The following is a 20,631-nucleotide window of genomic DNA, read 5'->3' as shown; positions in this document are numbered from 1 at the left end:
GATGGAAACTTCTTTCTCCAGTGAAGACTCTGAGATGGACCAGGAGGAGAGCATCATGACCCTCAAGGAGAAATTGGCAGAATCTATCTGTGTAGGTCACAGCCTTGGTCCAGGGACCTGAGGGAGCCTAGTGGCCCCTGGAGGCATCACCTGGAGGTTTTCATGTAAGTTAATGTGACTGGATGGGGGTGTGGCCCCTGGTCACCACCCAGCACAAGTGACACAGCCAGCGCGGAGACATCAGCTGCCTCTCTCCACGTCCCTTCAGGCCCATGTCACAGCTGCACTGGGGAAACTGAGGCAGCTTAGCAGCCTCCATGATGCTGGTGGAGCTGGAGGAGGCCTGACTCTTCCAGAGAACGCCCTGCAGAGCCACAGGGCATGTGTAGCATCTGGGCGGCACCTGGCTCTCTCCCTGCTCCCCTGGGACTTCCAGCGAGCTCTCTTCCTGCCTTCGGAGCCATCTCAGTGCTCACAGCTCACAGTGACATTGGGAGGGGTCCCTATGCCTGTGAAGTGTTGGCGGGAGGAGAAAAACATCTGTGTTTAGCATAGCATAAAAAATCTCATTTTACAGTAGAAAAGTCTATCCCATGACGCAGACACAACAAACATATAAAACCCGCTTCCTGCTGCAGCTTCAAGGAGGACAATCTGGAGCTCTCTTAGGCGACCTTCCAGGAATCCCTTGCTCATCCTTAAAAATAAATCTTTCCTGTTGCTTCCCCAGTCTCTACACCCAAACACCAATCTTAGTGGCCCAACAAAGATCTTGAAGTATATCTACATAGGTATTAGCAAAACTTTATTTAAACAAGATATTCAGTGGATAATCAGGCATCCTCACTTTACATGCATGAGGACCAGCATGTACACAAAATGGTGCATTTCCAACCCCTGCAGGACCAAAGTCAAGTTATGGACAAGGGGTGGCATGATGTAAGGCAGGCGGCTGAGCTTTGGACTTGGAGGTCAGAGACCTAAGATTTGGAGTAGACACATGGGGTAGCGCTGGCTGCCTTTGAGAAATGACGCTCTGGCCATTCTTGAGTTTGTATTTTCCTTCACCAACTTTCCCGGAAGCACGGAGACACCGGGTTCACCCTTCCTGCTTGTGATCATGAGACACAAGGGGCAGGACAATTGTCTGATCCATTTGTATCGAGTGTGATTACCCCGTAGCAGAAGCCATCAGTGCTCTGCCCAGAGCCCCCAGGTCCCTGTGAGGGGTTCTGAGCCCCTTCCCCAACTTCCCTGTGCTTTTGCTGAGAATACCCCACACCACTGACCTTGGACCACCAGAGCTACTTTTCCCAGCTGAAGTCCCTGGGAGTTCATGTCCCTCCAGGGCAGCTCATGGCCACTGGCTGAGTGACCTGGGGAAACAGGGCAGAAGCTATTTTCAAAAATAACCACAGCAGTATTTTTTATTCCACCTGTTTTTTCAGTAACTTTCTGCACTCCCCACACCAAGGGGTGGAATCCAAGTCCCCTCCCTTTAAGCTTGGGGCAGCCATTGTGACTGCCTCAGTGTAGAACAGGCTGGAAATGACTGTGTGGTTAGGAAGGCTGGGGCATAAAAGGTCATGTGGCTTCCACTCACAGCTCTCCTGCAGGAGGCTCCGCATGGGAACCCGGCCGCCATGTTGGGAGGAAGCCCAGGCTGCACGGAGAGTGATGCAGATTCCCCAGTGAAGCTCCAGGGAAGGCCTTGGCCAGCAGCTGGGATCAAACCCCAGACCAGTGAGTGACTGAGTCTCCAGCCATCCTGGCCCCTAGCCTCCACGTCACCCCGACTGAGTGCAACAGAGGTGAGCTGCCCTCTCCAAGCCCTGCCCAAACTTCAGGTTTAAGAGCAAATCCAAGCTCCCTCTGTTTCCAGCCACTGAAGTCTGGCCTGGTTTGTCACGCAGCAATAGAATCAGGGCACGGGGCTGGCAGCCCAGTTCCCCTACCTCCTGTGGATGCCAAGTCCCCTGTGCTGAGATAAGCTGAGAACCTCCCCAACCCAGAGCAGGCTTCCAGTCGCCTCTAGCGAGCTGAAAGTCAGATTTTTGCTTTATCATCCCAGGCTAGACAAAACCAGAGAAAGTGGAGTCAGTTTGCTTCTCCCATACAATGTGGCGCTGGTGCCAGAGACAGCAGCAGCGGCAGGACACAGAGATGAAGGCTGGCGGATGTGCCGGTGTGGCTCTCGCTGAGCGTCCTTGCAGTGTGGGGCTGCCCTGCCTACTATGTGGCACAGCGTCCTCTTGGAGCAGCCCTCTGGGATGCAGAGGGCTCTGCGTTGGTTGCTCAGTGGCCCCAGTTAACACTGTGACATTCAACAATTGCACGGTGTGGCAGATGCCACAGCCCTTCCATGGACATTTGCACAGCTCACCCTCACCCACCCAAGGGTGTCGTCAGCCTGTGTTGTGTGACAATGGACTCTGAGGGCTTGGCTGATCGGCCCCAGGTCATTGCTGGGCTGGGGGCCTGTCCACCTCACTCTCCTGGGAGCTTAGAGCTTTGTCATCTGCATCCAGACTCTTCAGCCACATCAGGGTCCTTGTCCCGCACAGGGCCTTGCTGTCCCACCACTGCCCCTTTAATGTGGAGGCAAGGGGGCCTCACCCACCCAGGATTTTTGCTTTCCTATTGGGTTTCCAAAAGGGCCCCTGGCTCTTCCTGTTTCCTACCATGAGGAACTTGGTTAGGGTTCGCCAGAGGCTTTCGAAAGGGTGGGGAAAGTCCTGTCCACCATGTCCTGGTGCCTGGGGTCACCCTCCCTCCAGCTCTGATCCCGACATCTGCACCATCTCCCCAACCTACAATTTATCTGAGCATCTCAGTCCTGGGGGACACGTGCCCCGGCCCTTTGACCCAGTACCAACAGCAATGCAGGAGGGCCACAGAGGGTCTCCCTGCCCAGGGAAACCCCCCACCTGCTGACTTTGGATTCACCTCTGCTCCAAGCACAGCCCAGGCCTGGCAGCGTTTGACCCGCGGCGCATTCCAAGTCAAGCCCCCAGTTGTTTGGCAACGTCGGGCTGACAGCAGCTGCACAGCCAGATGTTGACCAGAGCACAAAGTGCGCTTTGATGTTTTTTTAACTAATCTCTGGGGAATTCCAGCTCACCCTGAGTCTTCCCAGGAAAAAAAAGAGCTGAAAAGCTGATTTCTGGAGCCTGAAGGGGCAGGGCATGAGGGCGGCAGCCAAGGGGCAGGGTGAGAGTGAAGTGGGTGGGGGCCACGCTTGCAGCAGGGAGGTGCCAGCTGGAGACAGCCAGGGCAAGGTGCCAACATGCCAGAGGTTTGAGTTAGTCAGGGGGGCCTGAGACCTGGGGCCACTCCACAGTGGGGGCCAGGGGACAGCGATACAGCAGACAGGACCTGCCCTGGACAACTGAGGTCAGCCCAGATCAGCCCAGATCAGCCCTACCATGCTTCATAACCACAGGTTCCCCTCCACCTTCTGCTCTCAGCCCTGCAGGGATGAGAAGGCCCTGCCCAACACCGGCATCAGAACTCAGGGAGGGATTCGGGAGGCAGAGGACTCTGGGTCACGGACCCTTCTAAGAGCTTCCCAGGGCATCCGCTTCTGTCCCTGAGCTTGTTCAAGATGACCCTGAGGAGGGCTTCATTAGAAGCCTGACTTTGACAGGCAGGACAGTGTGATGTCTCTTTCAGGGAGATATTAGCAGGGGCTTGGCACCCTGCCACCCATGGTTACTCCCATGTTATAGATGAGAAAACAGAGGCCCAGGGCCGGTAAGTAATATTCTTGAGACCACACAGCTAGGAAATTCCAGAGCAGCTCTTGGGAGAGGGTGGGGCCCACACACCAGGGCCTGTTTCCTCCTGGAAGCCAGCATCCCAGTCCTGCCTGCAGAAGACCTCAGATCAGTTGATCCTTGGCTCCCCAAATACCTCAGGAACCAAACAAGCCTGGCCTGGGGCTGAAGTTTCAGTGTTTCAGACATCAATCAGGCCGGAGAACTCCCCAAAAATATCTAGCTTTGGGGTGCTGATCATGCCCTTTTTCATACGGGAATGTCACCTTCACAGATGTTCAGGCTATAAAATTTCAGCAAACTATACACTTACGATACATGCTTTTTTTTCTGCATTAAACTATATTCCAATAAAAATATGTATTTCAATAAAAAGGTTTTTAAAGCTATATTTCAAGGCAATTTTCCCAAGAAAAGCCTTCCCAGAAGCTGCTTTTGAGCTATTCAGTTGCTTTCTCCAAGCGTCAGGCAACTAGAGCCTCGGTCCTCATTACAATCAGAAACATCATATTTAAAGAATATTTTTCCTTAAAATGATTGACAGATAATGGAGAGCTATGCAACTCTTAGAACAGGGTAGCTCTTTATGAACTGATAGAAACAAATCTTCCAAGTTCACCATGAAAGTTTCGAGCCAGGTATATAATAGGGTATTGTATATGTGGTTAAAAAAAATAAAATAAAGGAAAAGTATGTACATTCTCGATTGCACCTGCTTAGATCGATCTGGAAGGGGCACAAGAGGCTGGTATCACCGGATGCTTCTGGGAAGGGAGGTGTCTGGGTGATTGGATGGGGCTGGGAGAAAGAGGCTTCTTCCCATTGAATCCTTTTCATGCCTTCTGACTTTTGCTCCCAGCGAATTATTACTTAAACATGACCTTGATTTTTAAAAGGTTGGGGCTTCTCGAAAGGAGGCCATGTGCCCAGCATCCCCATCTCCAGATCCACTTCCTGTCCACAGGCTTCCCTCAAACTCCACTTATAATATCAGATGGCAAATGTCCTAACCTTGTGAAATCAGCAACTGCTCTTCACAAGCTGAGGGAAGAAAATATATGTAACTGTTTTCACATTAAAACCACTCAGGGATGCACATGCTTAGAGCACATGCTGATACGATTCCCCAGATCACACATTCACAGCTTCTTTCTCTAATTAAAAACACACGCACACACATCTCAGCTGTGGGAAACCGTGTGGCAGGTCCTCCAAAAATTAAACATGGGATTATCCTATGATCCAGCAATTCCACTTCTAGGTATAGACCCACAATACCTGAAAGCTGAGACTCAAACAGACATTTGCACACCCCTGTTCTCAGCACATCGTCCTCAAGTGCCAAAAGGTGGAAGCAACCGTGTCCATCAACAGGTGAGTGGACAAGCTAAATGCGATCCGTCCGTACCATGGAATGTCCCTCTGCCTCTCAGAGGAGGAGATTCTGATGCCTGCCACGCTGTGGATGAACCTTGAGGACCTGATGCCAAGTGCAAGAGGCCAGACACAAGAAGGACAAGTACTGGGTGATTCCACTTGTAGGAGGTCCCTAGAGGGGCCAGATCCCCAGAGACAGAAAATAGAATGGAGGCTGCCAGGGAGGGAATGGGGAGTGGGCGTTTCATAACGCAGTCTCAGTTTGGGAAGAAGGGAAAGTTCTGGAGCTGGATGGTGGTGGCAGTTGTACAGCAATGTGAACGTGCTTAATGCCACTGAAAAGTGCACTTGACAATGGCAAAGATGGGGCCGGGCACAGTGGCTCACACCTGTAATCCCAGCACTTTGGGAGGCCAAGGCAGGCGGATCACGAGGTCAGGAGATCGAGACCATACTGGCTAGCATGATGAAACCCCGTCTCTACTAAAAATACAAAAAATTAGCCGGGCGTGGTGGTGGGCGCCTGTAGTCCCAGCTACTCGGGAGGCTGAGGCAGGAGAATGGCGTGAGCCCGGGAGGCGGAGCTTGCAGTGAGCCAAGATCATACCACTGCACTCCAGCCTGGGTGACAGAGCGAGACTCCGTCTCAAAAAAATAAATAAATAAAAATAAAAAATATAAAAGAAAATGGCAAAGATGGTAAAACGTTATGTTATGTATACTTTACCTCATTATTTTCACAAGCATATTGGATGAAGAGAATCTTCTTTAAACAAAATATAATAGTTTGAGAAGCACTTGGGAGTGGACGTTACAGTTCCAACAGACAACTCCAGCTCAGTGGACATTCCCAGTTTGTAAAAAGAAGTTAGGTGTTTTCAGAGGTGGCCACAGATGTGACTAAGAGCCCGGGTGACCTTCCCTCCAGGTGGCTGCTCTGAGGGACGCCAGGTGACCCTGGCCTCTTCTCCCTCTTCCCATCAGAGGCTCACCCATGCCGGGTTGAGCCCCCCACTCATCCCAGGAGCCTCCCTGTGACAGGCAGCCCTCATCCTCCTTTTAATTAAGTCAGTCACGGAGCAAGTTAGGTTAAAAAAAAAGGGTAATTTCTCTCTTTTCCATTTTCCAGGTTAGAGTTTGGGGGGCAGGGGAGGGAGGGAGAGCATCTATGTGCACCTCTCCCACCTCCACCCTGTTCACGGCAGGTGGCAGATTCCAGTACAGGGATGATGGCTCGAGTTGCCAGGAGAATGGAAACCCAGAAAGGTCATTGGTAGTTGGATCCTGATGGCTGAAACACTGCTGCCTAGACATGGAGACCTCAGAACATTAGGCCAGGACACAGTGGTCGCTGTGTGGCCACACTCAGGCCCCACTCCCAGCCAAGGCTGTGCTCAGAGGCCAGCAGGAGCAGCCGCATCCCTGGACTCACTCAGCCCTTGCTGATGTGTGAAGGCTGATTCTGTGCAGACCCTGTGCTGGGGGCAGGACAGTGACAAGGAGCAGGACAGCCCCCATCCCGGGATCCCCAGAACCCAGAGGCAGTGCTGCAGTGGCACAGAGAGCTGGACACTTGCAGTCAAGGTCTCACATCAGCCAGGAGTTGTCCCCACCTTAGAGAGGAGGAAACCGAGGCTGGGGAAATCAGGCCTGCCCAGAGGTGACCAAGCCAGGACCTGAATCCCTTGCACCTGGCCCCAGAGCACGTGCACTGCCTGCTCTGTGCCTGGGCCTCCTCTGGCTCTGAGACCTAAGCAGCCATCTTGGACACAGTGTTTGGTAACCCCGGGTCCTGGAGATAAAGCTTGGGAGTAAGTTGTCTATTTGGGGAAGCAACCCCAGGGCAATGAGAAAATTAAAACAAGGGAGGAGGGAAAACAAGTCCAAGGGTCAGTGCTGCAGGCTGCAACGGGGCAAAAAGCTCATTTATCCTCTGGCTCCAGGACCCCACTGGGTAAGGGTGGCACCAGCCTGTTTGGGCTGGGTGTGTGAAGATGGCTGCATGGCTGCGGGGACATCCACAGCAGGGAAGCACCCCCAGAAGGGAGCTGTGAGTTGCTGATGAGAGGAGGGGCTGTCGGTTCACCTGTGCACAGGTGGTTGCTGCAGCAATGACAGGAGTGAAAAGGTGGATGGAGAACCGTAGGGTGGGTGCAGGGTGACCCCAACAGCTGCTGAGGCCCAGAGAAGTGAGTGATGCAGCTACAAAACCTCAGAAAAGCCATCGAGAGCCCCGATGTCCTTTCCTGGGTCAGCCTTCCTCCCCTGCATCAGCCACTCAGCCACCTCGAAAGGGGAGACCTCAGGACCCCGGCGGGGCCTGTAAGAATCACTGCGGAGGAACCCTGGGCCTCCAGCACTACCCAGGAGTCCCACAGTCCCCAGGCTCTGAGCACCTGCTGAACGCCCCACAACGTCACAGGGATCCAACAGTGAGTACAACGTGGTTCCTACCCTCCAGACTGCAGCCTAGAGAGGACGGCCTGGAAACACAGAAATCAGGACCAGTGGAGAGTTGAACGGTCTTCTCTCTGTGAGCAGGAGACAACAGCTGTGTGAGGGGCTGGCCAGTTCTGCTGGACAGAAAGGGAGGCCTTCCATGAGGAGGTGACACCGAGGAGCCTCCTGGAGAATGAGAATGGATTTGAAAGCAGACCTGGGAGGGGACGTCAGAGAGGGGACATCTCGAGAAGGGAGAGGCACAGCACAGAGAACGGGGGCTCTTAGGAGCGGAGCTTGCCCAGAGGGTAGGATTTGATTCGGGGGAGTGGGAGGTAGGAAACGTTTGGCAGGAGAAGAAACCAGAAGCTGGAGCTAGTAGCAGAGTCTGTGACACCCAGTGTGTCGGTGAGCTAGTGCTGGGTGGCACACGCCCCCAGAGCCCGGTGGGTTAAGACAACAACCGTGAGTCATTTCTCGCACATCCGCCAGGAGACGAACAGTTCTGCTGATCTGCAGCAGAGTTCCCTCATCTCTGCTGGGCTCTCACTGAGCCTGGCCAGGTCCTCTGGTCGGTAGCTGTCTAGGGTGGTTTCACCCTCTCCAGGTGACCTCTCATCTCCAGAAGGCTCACCCCGGCTCGTCCTCACGATGGGGCTGCAAGGCCCTGGGCGCCTACACTCAGAACTGGCACGCCTCACTTCCCTGCATTCTGTGGGTCGAGTAAGGGACAGGTTCAGCCCATTTCCAGGAGGTGTGGGGCAGGGGGAGGCGGGCAACTCAGCCTCTTGAGGCAGGCACCCCAGTGGCATTGCAAGGAAAGGTGGGGACTCGGTGCCATTTGCTCAGCGCACCCTCCTACGGAGCATTGCACCTGCTGACGTCAGGCAGCCAGGAGAGGTGTTTTAATTTGGAAAGTGACATTATATTTGCCTTGAGGCAGAAGAATAAGCCAGTTCCCCACATTCACTGAGTATCTAAGTGGCCAGCCCCGGTCTATTGTGCACTGCTTCCTCTTAGCCCTTTGGAACAGCATCCACAGGTGTTTTCTCCTGGAAGTAATGAATGGTTCATCCAGGTGGAATCCTGGACTGAAAATGCGGGCAGTCCTCACGTGTGACCCCCTTACGCTACAGATAGGACCTGACGTCTCAGGGTGGGAGGCGACCTCTCCAAGGCTGAGACTCCCAGTGGGGCGCGTGGGGCTGGGGGCTGGGTCTCAGCCACTTCAATGCTCTTTCGACCACAAAGTCACCCCAGTCTTTTGGCCATGCTCCTTACACGTTTGAAAAGATAAGTGGCAACAGCTCTAAAGGAAGGTGGAGAGAATCTTAGATACTAAAATCCTGGTTTTAACATCTATTGATCCAAATCAAGTCTTGGGTATAAAAATTAAAAGCAGCAAAAATTAAAAACAAGAAAAATCTTTGCTAGGAACTTTTCTAATAAAGCACTCACAGCTTGATACATAGACGTCGTTATCTTTGGCAGGACTGCTGCCAACATTTCCCAGGCCATTGGTGCATAAAAACAATGTAATATAGCAATTCAATTTTCTAAAGAATCAGTTAGCAATTAAACCGAGAATGTTTGGGAACAGATATTAAATTCTAAAGAGAATTGCCATTTAAACTTTAACTTTTCCAAGCAACAAAAGGATAATGGGGAACAGCTAGGAAGTTTCTCTTGAATTTCAGTAAGGAAATTATAAAAATTGAGGTCGTGTGCCCTTTGGGATTGTTTAAATGAATCTGTGACCTTGATACGGTGGTGGAAAGCAGCAAGGGCAGGTAGGACTGTCTTACGGGGTGTTCACTTGGTTTTGTCCCAATTATCAGATCAGGGAATAGCCAAGGAATTCTAGGCACATTGGCTATGGGTCATTGGAAACGTTGATTGTTCTAAGCAGATGGTTCTGGAAATATATTCCATCTGCTGCAGGGAAAACAAGCATGCACAGGAATCATCCCACCCCAACTTTGTTTCTCCATGCGTCCAGCGATATTCAGCGAGCTCTTGGAGCATGCTTGTACAGGACAAGGCACTGACAGCCAAGCAGGAACCCTGTGGCTGAGACCTGCCCTCCTGCGGTTTAACTCCAGGTTCAGAAGCTAGAGAACCACAGGTGAGACCTGCAGGGCAGAGAACTGCACACAGATGAGACCCACAGGAATGCCGTTCTCAGGACCCTGGAAGGACCAGGCTCCATTTCCAACTCGGGGGCCGGGGTGGGGAGTTAACCTGGAGCCACACTTCTTGTCTATAAATGGGCGTCAGCTTGGATGACCTCCAACCTCACTGACACCCCACGATTTGCTGGTGAGAGAACAAGGGGTGCAGATCCACGGCGTTGCGCTCCGGCCCAGGTAACCCCCTTGGGTCCTCTTGTTGGGCCAAACGGGTCTGGCCGGTGCATCCAGCCTTTCAGGGTTTCCGCTTTGCCCAGGCACAAGCACTTTCTGGAGTTTATCAGGGAAGTGCTTTAGAAACGTAATTAGTTGCTGTGAAAATTTGGAATAGGTGCTGACTATCAGTTATTAGGTATGCCAAAAGTCAGCAATTTATTCAGAACCAGGAAAATTGGAACCAACAAACCAAATATGTGCTCGTCGACCCCACAAGGAGAATCATGCCTGTTGCTGGAATGTTCCTCCAATGTCCCTGTGGTTATTCAAGGAAAATTGATGACTTAAAGCTCCATCAGTTTAAAAAAAAATGGGCTGAAAATGGAAAATGCTTTAAAAAAAAAAAAGATAACAGGGCATCCTATAAAGAATGGTTGGGGATCTTGGGTCTGTATCCTGGGAAAAAGGGATTTCTCTTGTCCCGTGGGGCCTGCTTTTGTTCTCATGGTGGAAAACCAGGACTGGTGGTGAGAAGGGGCGGGGGTGGCAGTTGTCTTACTTGCTGTAAAGGAAGCCTAAGGCATGAACTGTCTGGGAGTGGAACGGGCAGCCTCAGTAAGCCACAAGCTTCACGTCTCTATGCCGAATCACTCCTCTCACTTTGCAGATTCTACAACTTCCTGCAACGTGCTTCTCCTCCTGGCTTTTACATGAAACCCTCTTTTCACCCCGCATTCCCCACCAGGCACATCTGGGCCCTCTACTTTCCCTCACGGCCAAACCTCTGGAAAGAGAAGCTCCTGATCACTCTCCAGTCTCTTCCTTCTCATACCAATCTAATGTCTGCCTCACAACTCCATGGAGAGGCCCCTGACACTCTCAAGCCGCCCAGCTCCTGAGTCAGAGATGTTTCCAGTCCTTATCTCCAAACCTGGTGCCTATACCTTCCTTCTGGAAGCACTGTCCACCCACATCGTCCACAGCCACACTCAGACCAAGCCCCCTGCCACCCCAGGCCTCTCCTCGGCTCCCTGGCAAAGCTGGCTCTCTTGCCCCTGGCACCAGTGGAGCTGCTCCTCCAGGGCCAGCCTGGGCCATCTCCATTTCCCACTCTGCCTTCCCTCCCCAGGGAAGCTCACTCAGCCCTGTGGCTTCCATCAGCACCACATGCGTGGTACTCCAGGTTCTACGTTTAGTCCAGTCTCCTGTGAGCTCCAGACCCGACTACCCAAACCCCGCTCAATGTTACAAAAGCACCTCAAACTTGATGTCCCCAACTGAATTGCCTGCCACCCCCGCTGTACCTTCACCATCACCTCCCACCTTCGATGTGGTCCTTTAGGACCACAGTCCAGGTGTCCAGTGCTCTGAGCCAGGTGGGGCACGAGTCAGCCTCAACACACACCCTCCTCACACACCCTCCCACAGCTAATCCAACACCGAATCCTCTCACTTCAGCTCCTGATTTATTCTTCTCCCATTTGCCTGTCTCTCTTCATCTCCACTGCCTGCTCCTCAACACAAGCTCCCATCTTCCCTCACCTTGGCCGCGCTCTTTCTCCTAACATTGCTGCCGTCAGTTTCCCATGCCACAGCCACATGACCTGCTCAAGAAGCCAGCCCCATCCTGTCGGCTTCGTCCCCTGGAAACCGGGACAAGCTTGCACTGCACCTGTCCTGCCAGCCCTGTGGGGTCTCCAGCCTCCTTTGGCACCATGCTCCCCCACTCTCCATTCCAGCTGTGTTCCCTTCCTTCCCAGCCTTCTTCACACCTTCCACATGCCTTCTAAATGGCTTCTTCATGCCTCCTTCACACATTCTTTATGCCTTCTACATGCCTTCTTCATGCCTCCATCACTCCTACATGCCTTCTGCATGCCTTCTTCATGCCTCCATCACACCTTCAACCTGCCTTCATGTCTCCACCACACCTTCTACATGCCTTCTTTATGCCTCCACACCTTCTACATGCCTTCTTCATGCCTTCTTCATGCCTCCTTCACACCTTCTTCCGCCTTCTATTAATACATGCTTTTTTATGCCTTCTTCACACCTCCTTCAGGCTTCTATATGCCTTCTTCATGCCTCCTTCACACCTCCTTTATGCTTTCTACATGCCTTCATGCCTCCTTCGCACCTTCTTTATGCTTTTTACATGCCTTCTTCATGCCTCTGTCACACCTTCATTATGCTGTCTACATGCCTTCTTCATGCCTCCACTACACCTTCTATATGCCATCTTCATGCCTTCATTACACCTTCTACATGCCTTATTCATGCCTTCATTACACCTTCTACATGCCTTCTACATGGCTCATTCACACCTTCTACATGCCTTCTTCATGCCTCCACTACCCCTTCTTCATGCTTTCTACATGCCTTCTTCATGCCTCCATCACCCCTTCTACATGCCTTCCTCATGCCTTCATCACACCTTCTGCATGCCTTCTACATTCCTCCTTCATGCCTCATTCACACCTTCTTCAGCTTTCTATTAATATATGCTTTTTTATACCTTCTTCATGCCTCCTTCAGACTTCTACATGCCTTCTTCATGCCTCCTTCACACCTTCTTTATGCTTTCCACATGCCTTCTACATGCCTCCTTCACACCTTCTGCATCCCTCCTTCACACCTTCTTTACACCTTCTATTAATACATGCCTTTTTCATGTCTTCTTCACGCCTCCTTCAGACCTACATGTCTTCCTCACACCTTCTTCATGCCTTCTACATGCCTTTTTCATGCCTTCTTCATCCTCCTTCACACCTTCTTCATCCCTTCTCTGCACCTCCTACATGCATTCCACAGGCCTTGCTCCCTTTTCTTCTTCCAGTCCTGCTGCCAAGAACTCTTATCCTCTCTTCTCCAGTTCATTAACTCCTATTTATGCACCTTCTTTCCAGGAGGCTGCTCCTGGCCTTTGACCAGGTCAAGTTTACCGCTTGTTATGAGCTTTCGCAGCACCACGTACTGAGCCTTTGTCCCCAGCAGTCTGTTCTCTACCCACAGCCAGAGAGAAATGAACACCAGACCCAGTGACTCTCCTACTTGAACCATGCGGGGTTCACACCTGTGCTTAAAATAACAGCCACACTCCTAACCGGGGCTCTGGATCACCATCTTCCAAATATCTCTGTGCTGGAGCACCCACCCCGGAAAGAAGCTAGTCACTGGGTCTTCACGTCAGTGTCAAACGGCCCCTCCCGATGTCCTGTCTGTGGCTTTTTCAGGACACCAAGCTTATCGTTTCCACAGCACCCATCACAGTTAATGATGTTGCCTTTGCTGGTTTCTGTGCTTATGTGGCGGGAAGAATAATGCCTCTCCCCAGAGACGTCCACGTCCCAATCCCTGAACCTGGAAGTAGGTTGGGATGCATAGCAAAGGGGAATGCAGGTTGCTCAGGAGCTGGCCTTAAAATTGAGGGATTATTCCTAATTATCCATTCAGGCCTCATGCAATTTCAGGGGCACATGGAAGGGGGGAAGGAGAAGGGAGTCAGAGGGAGATGGACCTCCCCTAGGCCCTCAGCCTGACCCTGGCACCTGTGTGAGGCAGCCTGGGATGAGGGTGACCAGGAAAAGTGCCACCTCCTGGCTTTGTTCCCTCTGCTGGTGACACCCTCTGAGATCTTGGACAAGACGCCTGAGCCCTGAAGCTGGCAGGTTGCTTCCCAGCAGCCTCTTCAGACCATCCCGATCCTCCCCAGAGGGTCTACAATTCTCCTGGTGGAGACCCAGAGTCCTCTGGGCATGGAGCAGGCCCTGTGAGGGATCTGGAGAAAGGGAGGGGACAACAGAGAGGTGCCCTTTGGGACCCTGTTCATTCTCATTTCTGAGCCCACAATAGAGAAGGAAAACAGCAAGAGCTTCTGTGTAAATGCTCACCCCACAGTGCACAGTTCTCAGAAACCAAAGAGGAAAGCCATGTTTCATGCCGTACTGGAGTCATGAACCACCTTCACCTCTACTGCGTCTACCACTGACTTTAAGACGTGGCCGACACAGTAGGAGAGAGCTGAGAGGGGAGAGAGCAAGAAAGGAGGCAGGAGAGGAGAGGGGTCACAGATAACCCCTGGAATTGGGGAGTGCAGAGAGGCCACCTCGTGGGCAGCAGGCTCTTAGGGGAGCTGCAGTCACCCTGGGACTCCACGGCCTCCCCAATGTTCACGTGCCCTGGCAGATCTGACCTCTTCTGTCCTGAGGTCTGGCCGTGCCTGGAGATTGAGAGGTGTGGAAGAAGCGGTTGGCCAGTGATGGCTACTCTGCCTTCTGCCGCCATCCCCTCTGCACCTGCCCATCCCTACCCTCTGGACCCATTGTCATTCCTCTCCATGCGGTAGAGTCCCCAGAGCTCTGCCCTCCTCCTCCAGCCTCCTGCTCTGCGTCTCCTGCACGGGATCCAACACCATCTCCCACACACCTGCCACCAGCCAACGCAGGTCAAAAAGATTTACTGTGGTAAAAAAAAATAATAATAAATAAGTAGAAGAAAGCCGTTTCACACAGTGGAATAAACGCCATTGAGTCCGCCATGTTGCAGCGTTCACCGGGCTCAGGCCAAGGCAGCAAGGTCACTAGCTGAGAGGGGTTACCAAGACCAAACATGAACAAGAGAAGCTCACCAGTAAGAGTATGTCTGCTTTCCTGGGACACAGGTACAGCATAGCGCCCAACCGGGGGACACGTGGAATCTGTGAATCGTAAGGGATTGTTACAACGCTTAAAGAAAATTATTCCAGAAACAAATGCAGCTATAATTTCAGAGTCAAATCAATGCTCCTTGGGTTAGCCTTAAACACAGGATGCATGTATAATCTGCCAGAGAATGATTTAAGGAAAGACGCTCCTACAAATAAACAGTGGGCACGTGTCAAAGGTTTATTTAACTCATGAACGGGAGAACCAACAGATGGCAAAGCTCTCAAAGAGCGCTTTAAGAGATGCTTATATTTACAAGCAATGAGAAGAGAATGTGGAACTAAGATTGCAAGGTTAGAACTAGTGTTGGTTGATGTCGCACCGGGCAATAATAGTGCAGGTCTGGCGTTCACTTTGCTAAGAGTCAGGAGTCATTTGCATCCCTGCTGAGCGAAACCTCCATGTTAATGAAACCTACAAGTTAACGGGTAACTTCACAAAGTCCTGGCACTGCTCAGTAAACAGCTGTGTCAAATATAGACACATCCCCACAAAGAATTACACACTCTTCTGGCGGGCTGGTTAGACCCTGCTCCAAGATGCCAGGGAAAGGACGGTAGCCACTCTTTTGCCTTATTTACAAGGTTGTTTAGAAATTATTTTTCTGGCCGGTCATGGTGGCTCACACCTATAATCCCAGCATGTTGGTAGGCTGGGGCAGATGGATCACCTGAGGTCAGGAGTTGGAGACCAGACTGGCCAACATGGCCAAACCCCATCTCTACTAAAAATACACAAATTAGCTGGGCATGGTGGCACGCGCTTGTAGTCCCAGCTACTCACGAGGCCGAGGCAGGAGAATCGCTTGAACCCGGGAGGCAGAGGTTGCAGTGAGCCGAGATCGTGCCACTGCACTCCAGCCTGAGTGATAGCTTGAGACTCTGTCTCAAAAAAAAAAAAAAAGGAAAAGAAATGATTTTTCTTCATAGAGTATTAGAAAGGGGGAAATAGCATTACCATTACTTATAGATGATATTATTCACACACAGACAATTCAAGGGAGCCACTGAGAAGCCTTCAGTATTTGTTATGGGCTGAATTGTGTGCCCCCCAAAATTCATCTGTTGTCGTCCTAACCCTGGCACCTCAGAACGGGGCTGTATTTGGAGACAAGGTATGTAAAGAGGTCGTTAAGGTTAAATGAGGTAACTGGGTGGACCCTCACCCAATACCACTATGTCCTTCTAAGAAGAGATTAGGACACAGATACACAGAGAGGGATGACCACATGAGGACAGCGAGTAGACAGCATCTGTGAGCCAAGGAGTGAGGCCTCAGGAGGAACCCAGCCTGCCAACACTGCGGCCTTGGGCTTCCAGCCTCCAGGACTGGGAGAGGATGGACATGTGTTGTTCAAGCCGCCCAGCCTGTGTGCTTCCTCACAGCAGCCCAAGCCAACTCATGCGTGCTTGTCCTCAAGTGATGGGGCAGACCCAGTGAGTCCAGGCAGCAGAGACTTCCCCAGGGCCGAGTGGGCTGAAATCCACACATGCTCCACAGCCCACCCACTGCCCAGTGCAGGCCTGTGTCCCCCAGGGGCAAGGGGACCTTTCAGGGCCGTACCAGCAAGGGCACATCCCCGGGCCGAGCTCTGCTGGCTCCCAGGAAGGCACCGGGTGGCCACAGCACCAGAGCAAGGCTCCAGACGTGCAGCGCTCGGCTCCCCGCCAACAGCGTGCAAAACAGAGGCGGTGTCAGACCCAAAGGAGAGCTGGGAGCTGCCTGGCCACACGCTCTGCGGGAAGCACACGTGGCCTGTGGGAAGAACAGTATTAAGCTCTCCTGGAGGACACACTGAGGCTTTGCCTAAACAAACACACATCTTGTTTCCAGATGTGAAACTCCACTAATAAAGATGTGGTGTCTTTTAAAATCAAAAACCCTATGTCCTCAATTATAAGTGGGAGCTATGAGTGCACAAAGGCATAGAGAGGCATGGAATGGACTCTGGAGACTCAGAAAGGAGGTGGGTGGGAGGGGGCTGGGGATAAAAAGTACACATTAGGTACAATGTATACCACTCAGGTGACAGGTCCGCTAAGATCTCAGAATTCCCCACTGTAGAATTCATCCATGTCACCAGAAACCACTTGTACCCCAAAAGCTACTGAAATAAAAATTAAATAAATAAATATTCTAGTGAAAGCATAAATATATAAAAATGCCAAGAAAATTTAAAAATATCACAGGAGACTTTCTATTATTAACAAATCAAACTGTAGAGCAGTATTATTCAAAGCAATGAGATACTGCAGCTAGATACCACAAGCGGACCGATGGGACAGGGAGGCAGTTGAAAGCGTACCCCAGAATGACCGTTGAATAGGTAACAGAAGTACCTTCCAATCGGTGAGGAAACTCACAAATAAATAGCATTGGGAAAATCAACAGTATAACAACTGCTAAATTCCTGTTCATATCATACTCAAAAACAAATTCCTGATGAATAAAATGTCAAAATAGTTTCAATTATAGGAACAGCAGAAGAAAATAGGGGAAAATCAGTTTCTTTAATACTTGGGTGAGAAAGGGCTTCATAATCAGGATATGAAATCCAAAATGTATAAAAGAAAATATTGACACAGTTGATCTCATAGAGCTTTTAAACTTCTGAAGAATGAACACAGTTAAAAGAAAATGCCAGACTAGGAGGAAACATTTGTATAATTATAACAGGGAAGGAGTCACTATCACTAACCAACAATTAATATCCAGGGAAAGGTTTATAACTTAAAATTCTGATTCTAAATTTCTACTAGAAGCATAAATACATAAAAGTTGCCACATAAAAGTATAACACATAAAAATGTAGTACTTCAGTAAGAAAAATTTACATGTTTGTTAGAAAAAAAGTGCAAAAGAAGAGAACCCTGAAGGCATGGTAAATGTTCTAAATCTTGTCACCCCGGGGTAAAAACATAAATTTGTAAAATGTAAAAACACGTTAACCTTTGTGAAGCTATACACACAGGGCGAATGTACTTTACTGTCCCGATATTCTTTTACACCTCAATATGCGGTTTAGAAGCATGGAGCAAACACCCACAGATCCACAGAGAAGAGAATGGAATCACCAGTACACATATCCACACCATTGCCTCCACTCCTGGGCCCAAATCCTCTAACACGCTAGGCCGTGCATCTCACCCCAGGGAGACTCTCCTCTCTCGGCCCCGTCCCTATCTTCCCTGACTTCTCTGAAACGTCACCTGCCAAGGAAGGTATGGCAGCCGCATGTCCTGCCATCTTCCCGTCCTGGGGGAATGTCCTGGTCCGGCACGCTTGGTGGCCCGGCCCTTCCATGTGGCTATCTGAGATCTTGCTTTTAAACATGTCCTTGGCCAACCCTGTCACTGGAGGCCTCTCCCTGGCTGACCAGGCCACTGTCCTGCTGTGACCCCAGCCCCCTGCCATGGACCTTCCCCACCTTTCTCAAGGCTCACCCGGCGCCAGCCCCCCACCCCGCCTCACCCTCCTGCCCATCTGCTGTGCAGTGCCGCTTCTTCCTTTCTCTGCCCAAGCACCTCTGTGGCCACTTGCTTGGAACTACTCATGGCCAGAAGTGTGGGCAGCTGCAGTGCAGAGGCTGTCCCTTCCCGACATGGCGTTGCTGGGCTTCCCCTCTTCAAGGAGCAGTTTCTAGCCCTAGTCCGAGAAGGCGGGCAGTGGCCACAGGAGCCGGGCCAGCTGCATGGGCACCTTCCCCATGGGCCAGAGATCAGTCAGCCGAGGCAGAGCCGGCCTCCCATTCTCCCACCGAGTGAGGACCAACAGCTTTAGGAGACCGGAGGGGCAGCGGGGTGGGAACGCAGCCCTGGATGAAGTGCAGAGGGGTGCAGCTCTTCGCCGGAGTCCTCCATGCCCCAACAGCTCCCCTGCGTCATCACCAGCACTCCTTGAGCCACCTCCCCTGCCTAGGAGGGCAGTGGGAGTCGCCGGAGGTGACCAATGTGAGCAGCTTCAGAAACTAGGGCACCCATTCAGGTTGCCCCGAATTTAGCGGGGATATGAGATGATAATCATACCTCCAAGCTCATTTTCATTTGTTCTGAAGTTTCCTCTGTGTGGTTTGGGGCAAGGAGCAGCACCCTGGACTTTCTCATCTGTGAAACAAAGGAACTGACTTGATTTTTCATTGCTCCTAAAGGTATCAGATTAAGAAAATGGACAGAAGCAAGAAACAGATATACAGCCTGCAAAGGGGCCTTGCCAACGTAAGTGAAAAGGGCTGACTCCAGGAGCTCGCGAACATGGCATGTGTTTGTGTTACAAACCTGCAATTGCAGGAGATTGGAAGCCAAGCCTCTTGGGCACAGGCATGGAGTTGGGCATATCCGGGGGGTCCCCCTTCATGGTACTGGGGTGTGATCATGAACAGGATCAGGAAGAGAAGCACAGGCTGGCTGGCCAGGGTGGCAGGGTGTGAGGCCGCTGCACCGGGAGAGTCTACCGGGCATCGTGAGTCAGCTGGCGTGGGTGGGATCCAGGAGGCGGGGACTGAAGAGAGTCGGCATGGAGGGGGATCCCTGGGTGTGCACACATGCACGTGGATGAGTGTGTGTGTCCCCTAACCTAGTGCAAATCATCCTCTCAGCCCTGTCCCACCCACGCCAAAACCAGGTGTTGTGGGAGAATCAAGAGACAGCTGTGAGTCGTCCCACAGACTGGAATTCAGGAAAGTCAGCATATCTCCAGGGGCCACCATGATGGGGAAAGGGATCCTTGCCGTGGGCCGCGAGGAGAAGGTCCACCCTGAGAAAGCAGGGTCAGGGCCCTGTGAGCCAAACAAACTCCAATTCTGGAAATTCTCTCAACCTCAGAGCACCTAATGCGATTTTTATTAAGTGGTATTTTTATTACCTCATGCTTAATTGACCAAGGAGCAGGGAGGCTGGGATTGGCCTAAAGTCTGAAGTACCTCTCTCTATTTTCAGGGCGGGCAGCTCATCAGTGTTACCTGTGTGTCGTTCTCCAGATGCTCTCATGGCAAACGGCATTTCTAAAATGCTAAATCACGTGGCATCTGGGAGAAGGGGAGATGATGGCCAGGGAAGGCCGTCGTGTCTTCCCGCCTGCTGCCTCAGTCCTGGGACGACAGAGCTGCACCTCTAAGTTCCCAGGAGAGGGTGGTCCATTTGAGTGTAGCCGTCTCCTCAAGACATGTTGAAATGAATTTCCATGTTCATCAAACCATGAATTATTGAAAAGCACTCAGGAATTTTTGTGTTCCATTTACACGAATCAATGAACAGAGGTTTAGAGTCAACCTTTGCTTCACTGCTTTATGGTTTATAAAGACAGGGCAACAATTTCAAGTGTGTACTGAGAACGAGCTTATTCGTGGTTGGAATAAATTAAAAGAATGGCCTTTATAAGAAAGATTCAGAATCTGTATGAAGCAAATGACTAGGTCAGTAGGTAGACAGATTTTTCCCCATTTTTGTATTGGAGATTTTCAAATGTATACAAGAGTAAAGAAGATGGAAAATGACTCCCTTGAGCCCGTCGCCCAGCATCAATATGTATCCACATTTCGCTATTCTTGCTTTATCTAACCGTCTCACTTATCTCAAAACCACAATATGTTAAGATAAGTGAACTGAAGACCTGAATAAATGCAAACATCTTATGCAAACATACATGAATGGTAAAAGTGAATGTTATAAAACTGACAATAATTCTTAAATAAGAGCTACTGAAATACTAACGAAAATTCCAAGGGGAATTTTTCTTACTTTGTCAAAATAATTCTAGAATTCTGCAGAAAAAGTAAAACACATTAACAGTGCAAAAAAAAAAAATGAGAAAGAGAGTAGGTTTTATATATTAAACCATAAAGCCATTAAAAGCATCATTAGAAAAAAGAGAAACATTTTTTATAACCTTGGAGTAGGAAAAGGTTTTCTCAATCTAATATCAAAGCCAAAAATCATTAAGAAAAATATCTAATAATTTGGGCTTATGAAAATGAAAAACATAATTATAAATCTA

General features: G+C 50.7%; 1 long non-coding RNA gene across 1 annotated transcript; it reads left to right on the top strand.

Annotated features, from left to right (window-relative positions):
• The first annotated feature begins 18,676 nt into the window (after nucleotides 1–18,676).
• On the top strand, nucleotides 18,677–20,279 carry LOC124908012 (uncharacterized). The gene is made up of 2 exons (XR_007088281.1): nucleotides 18,677–18,854; nucleotides 19,575–20,279. It is a non-coding gene; the product is annotated as an uncharacterized LOC124908012 (long non-coding RNA).
• Nucleotides 20,280–20,631: the final 352 nt, after the last annotated feature.

Source organism: Homo sapiens, chromosome 2, assembly GCF_000001405.40.
Source record: "Homo sapiens chromosome 2, GRCh38.p14 Primary Assembly".
NCBI lineage: Eukaryota > Metazoa > Chordata > Mammalia > Primates > Hominidae > Homo > Homo sapiens.
Note: the sequence above shows the minus strand (reverse complement) of the source record. Positions and strands in the feature narration are given on the sequence as shown.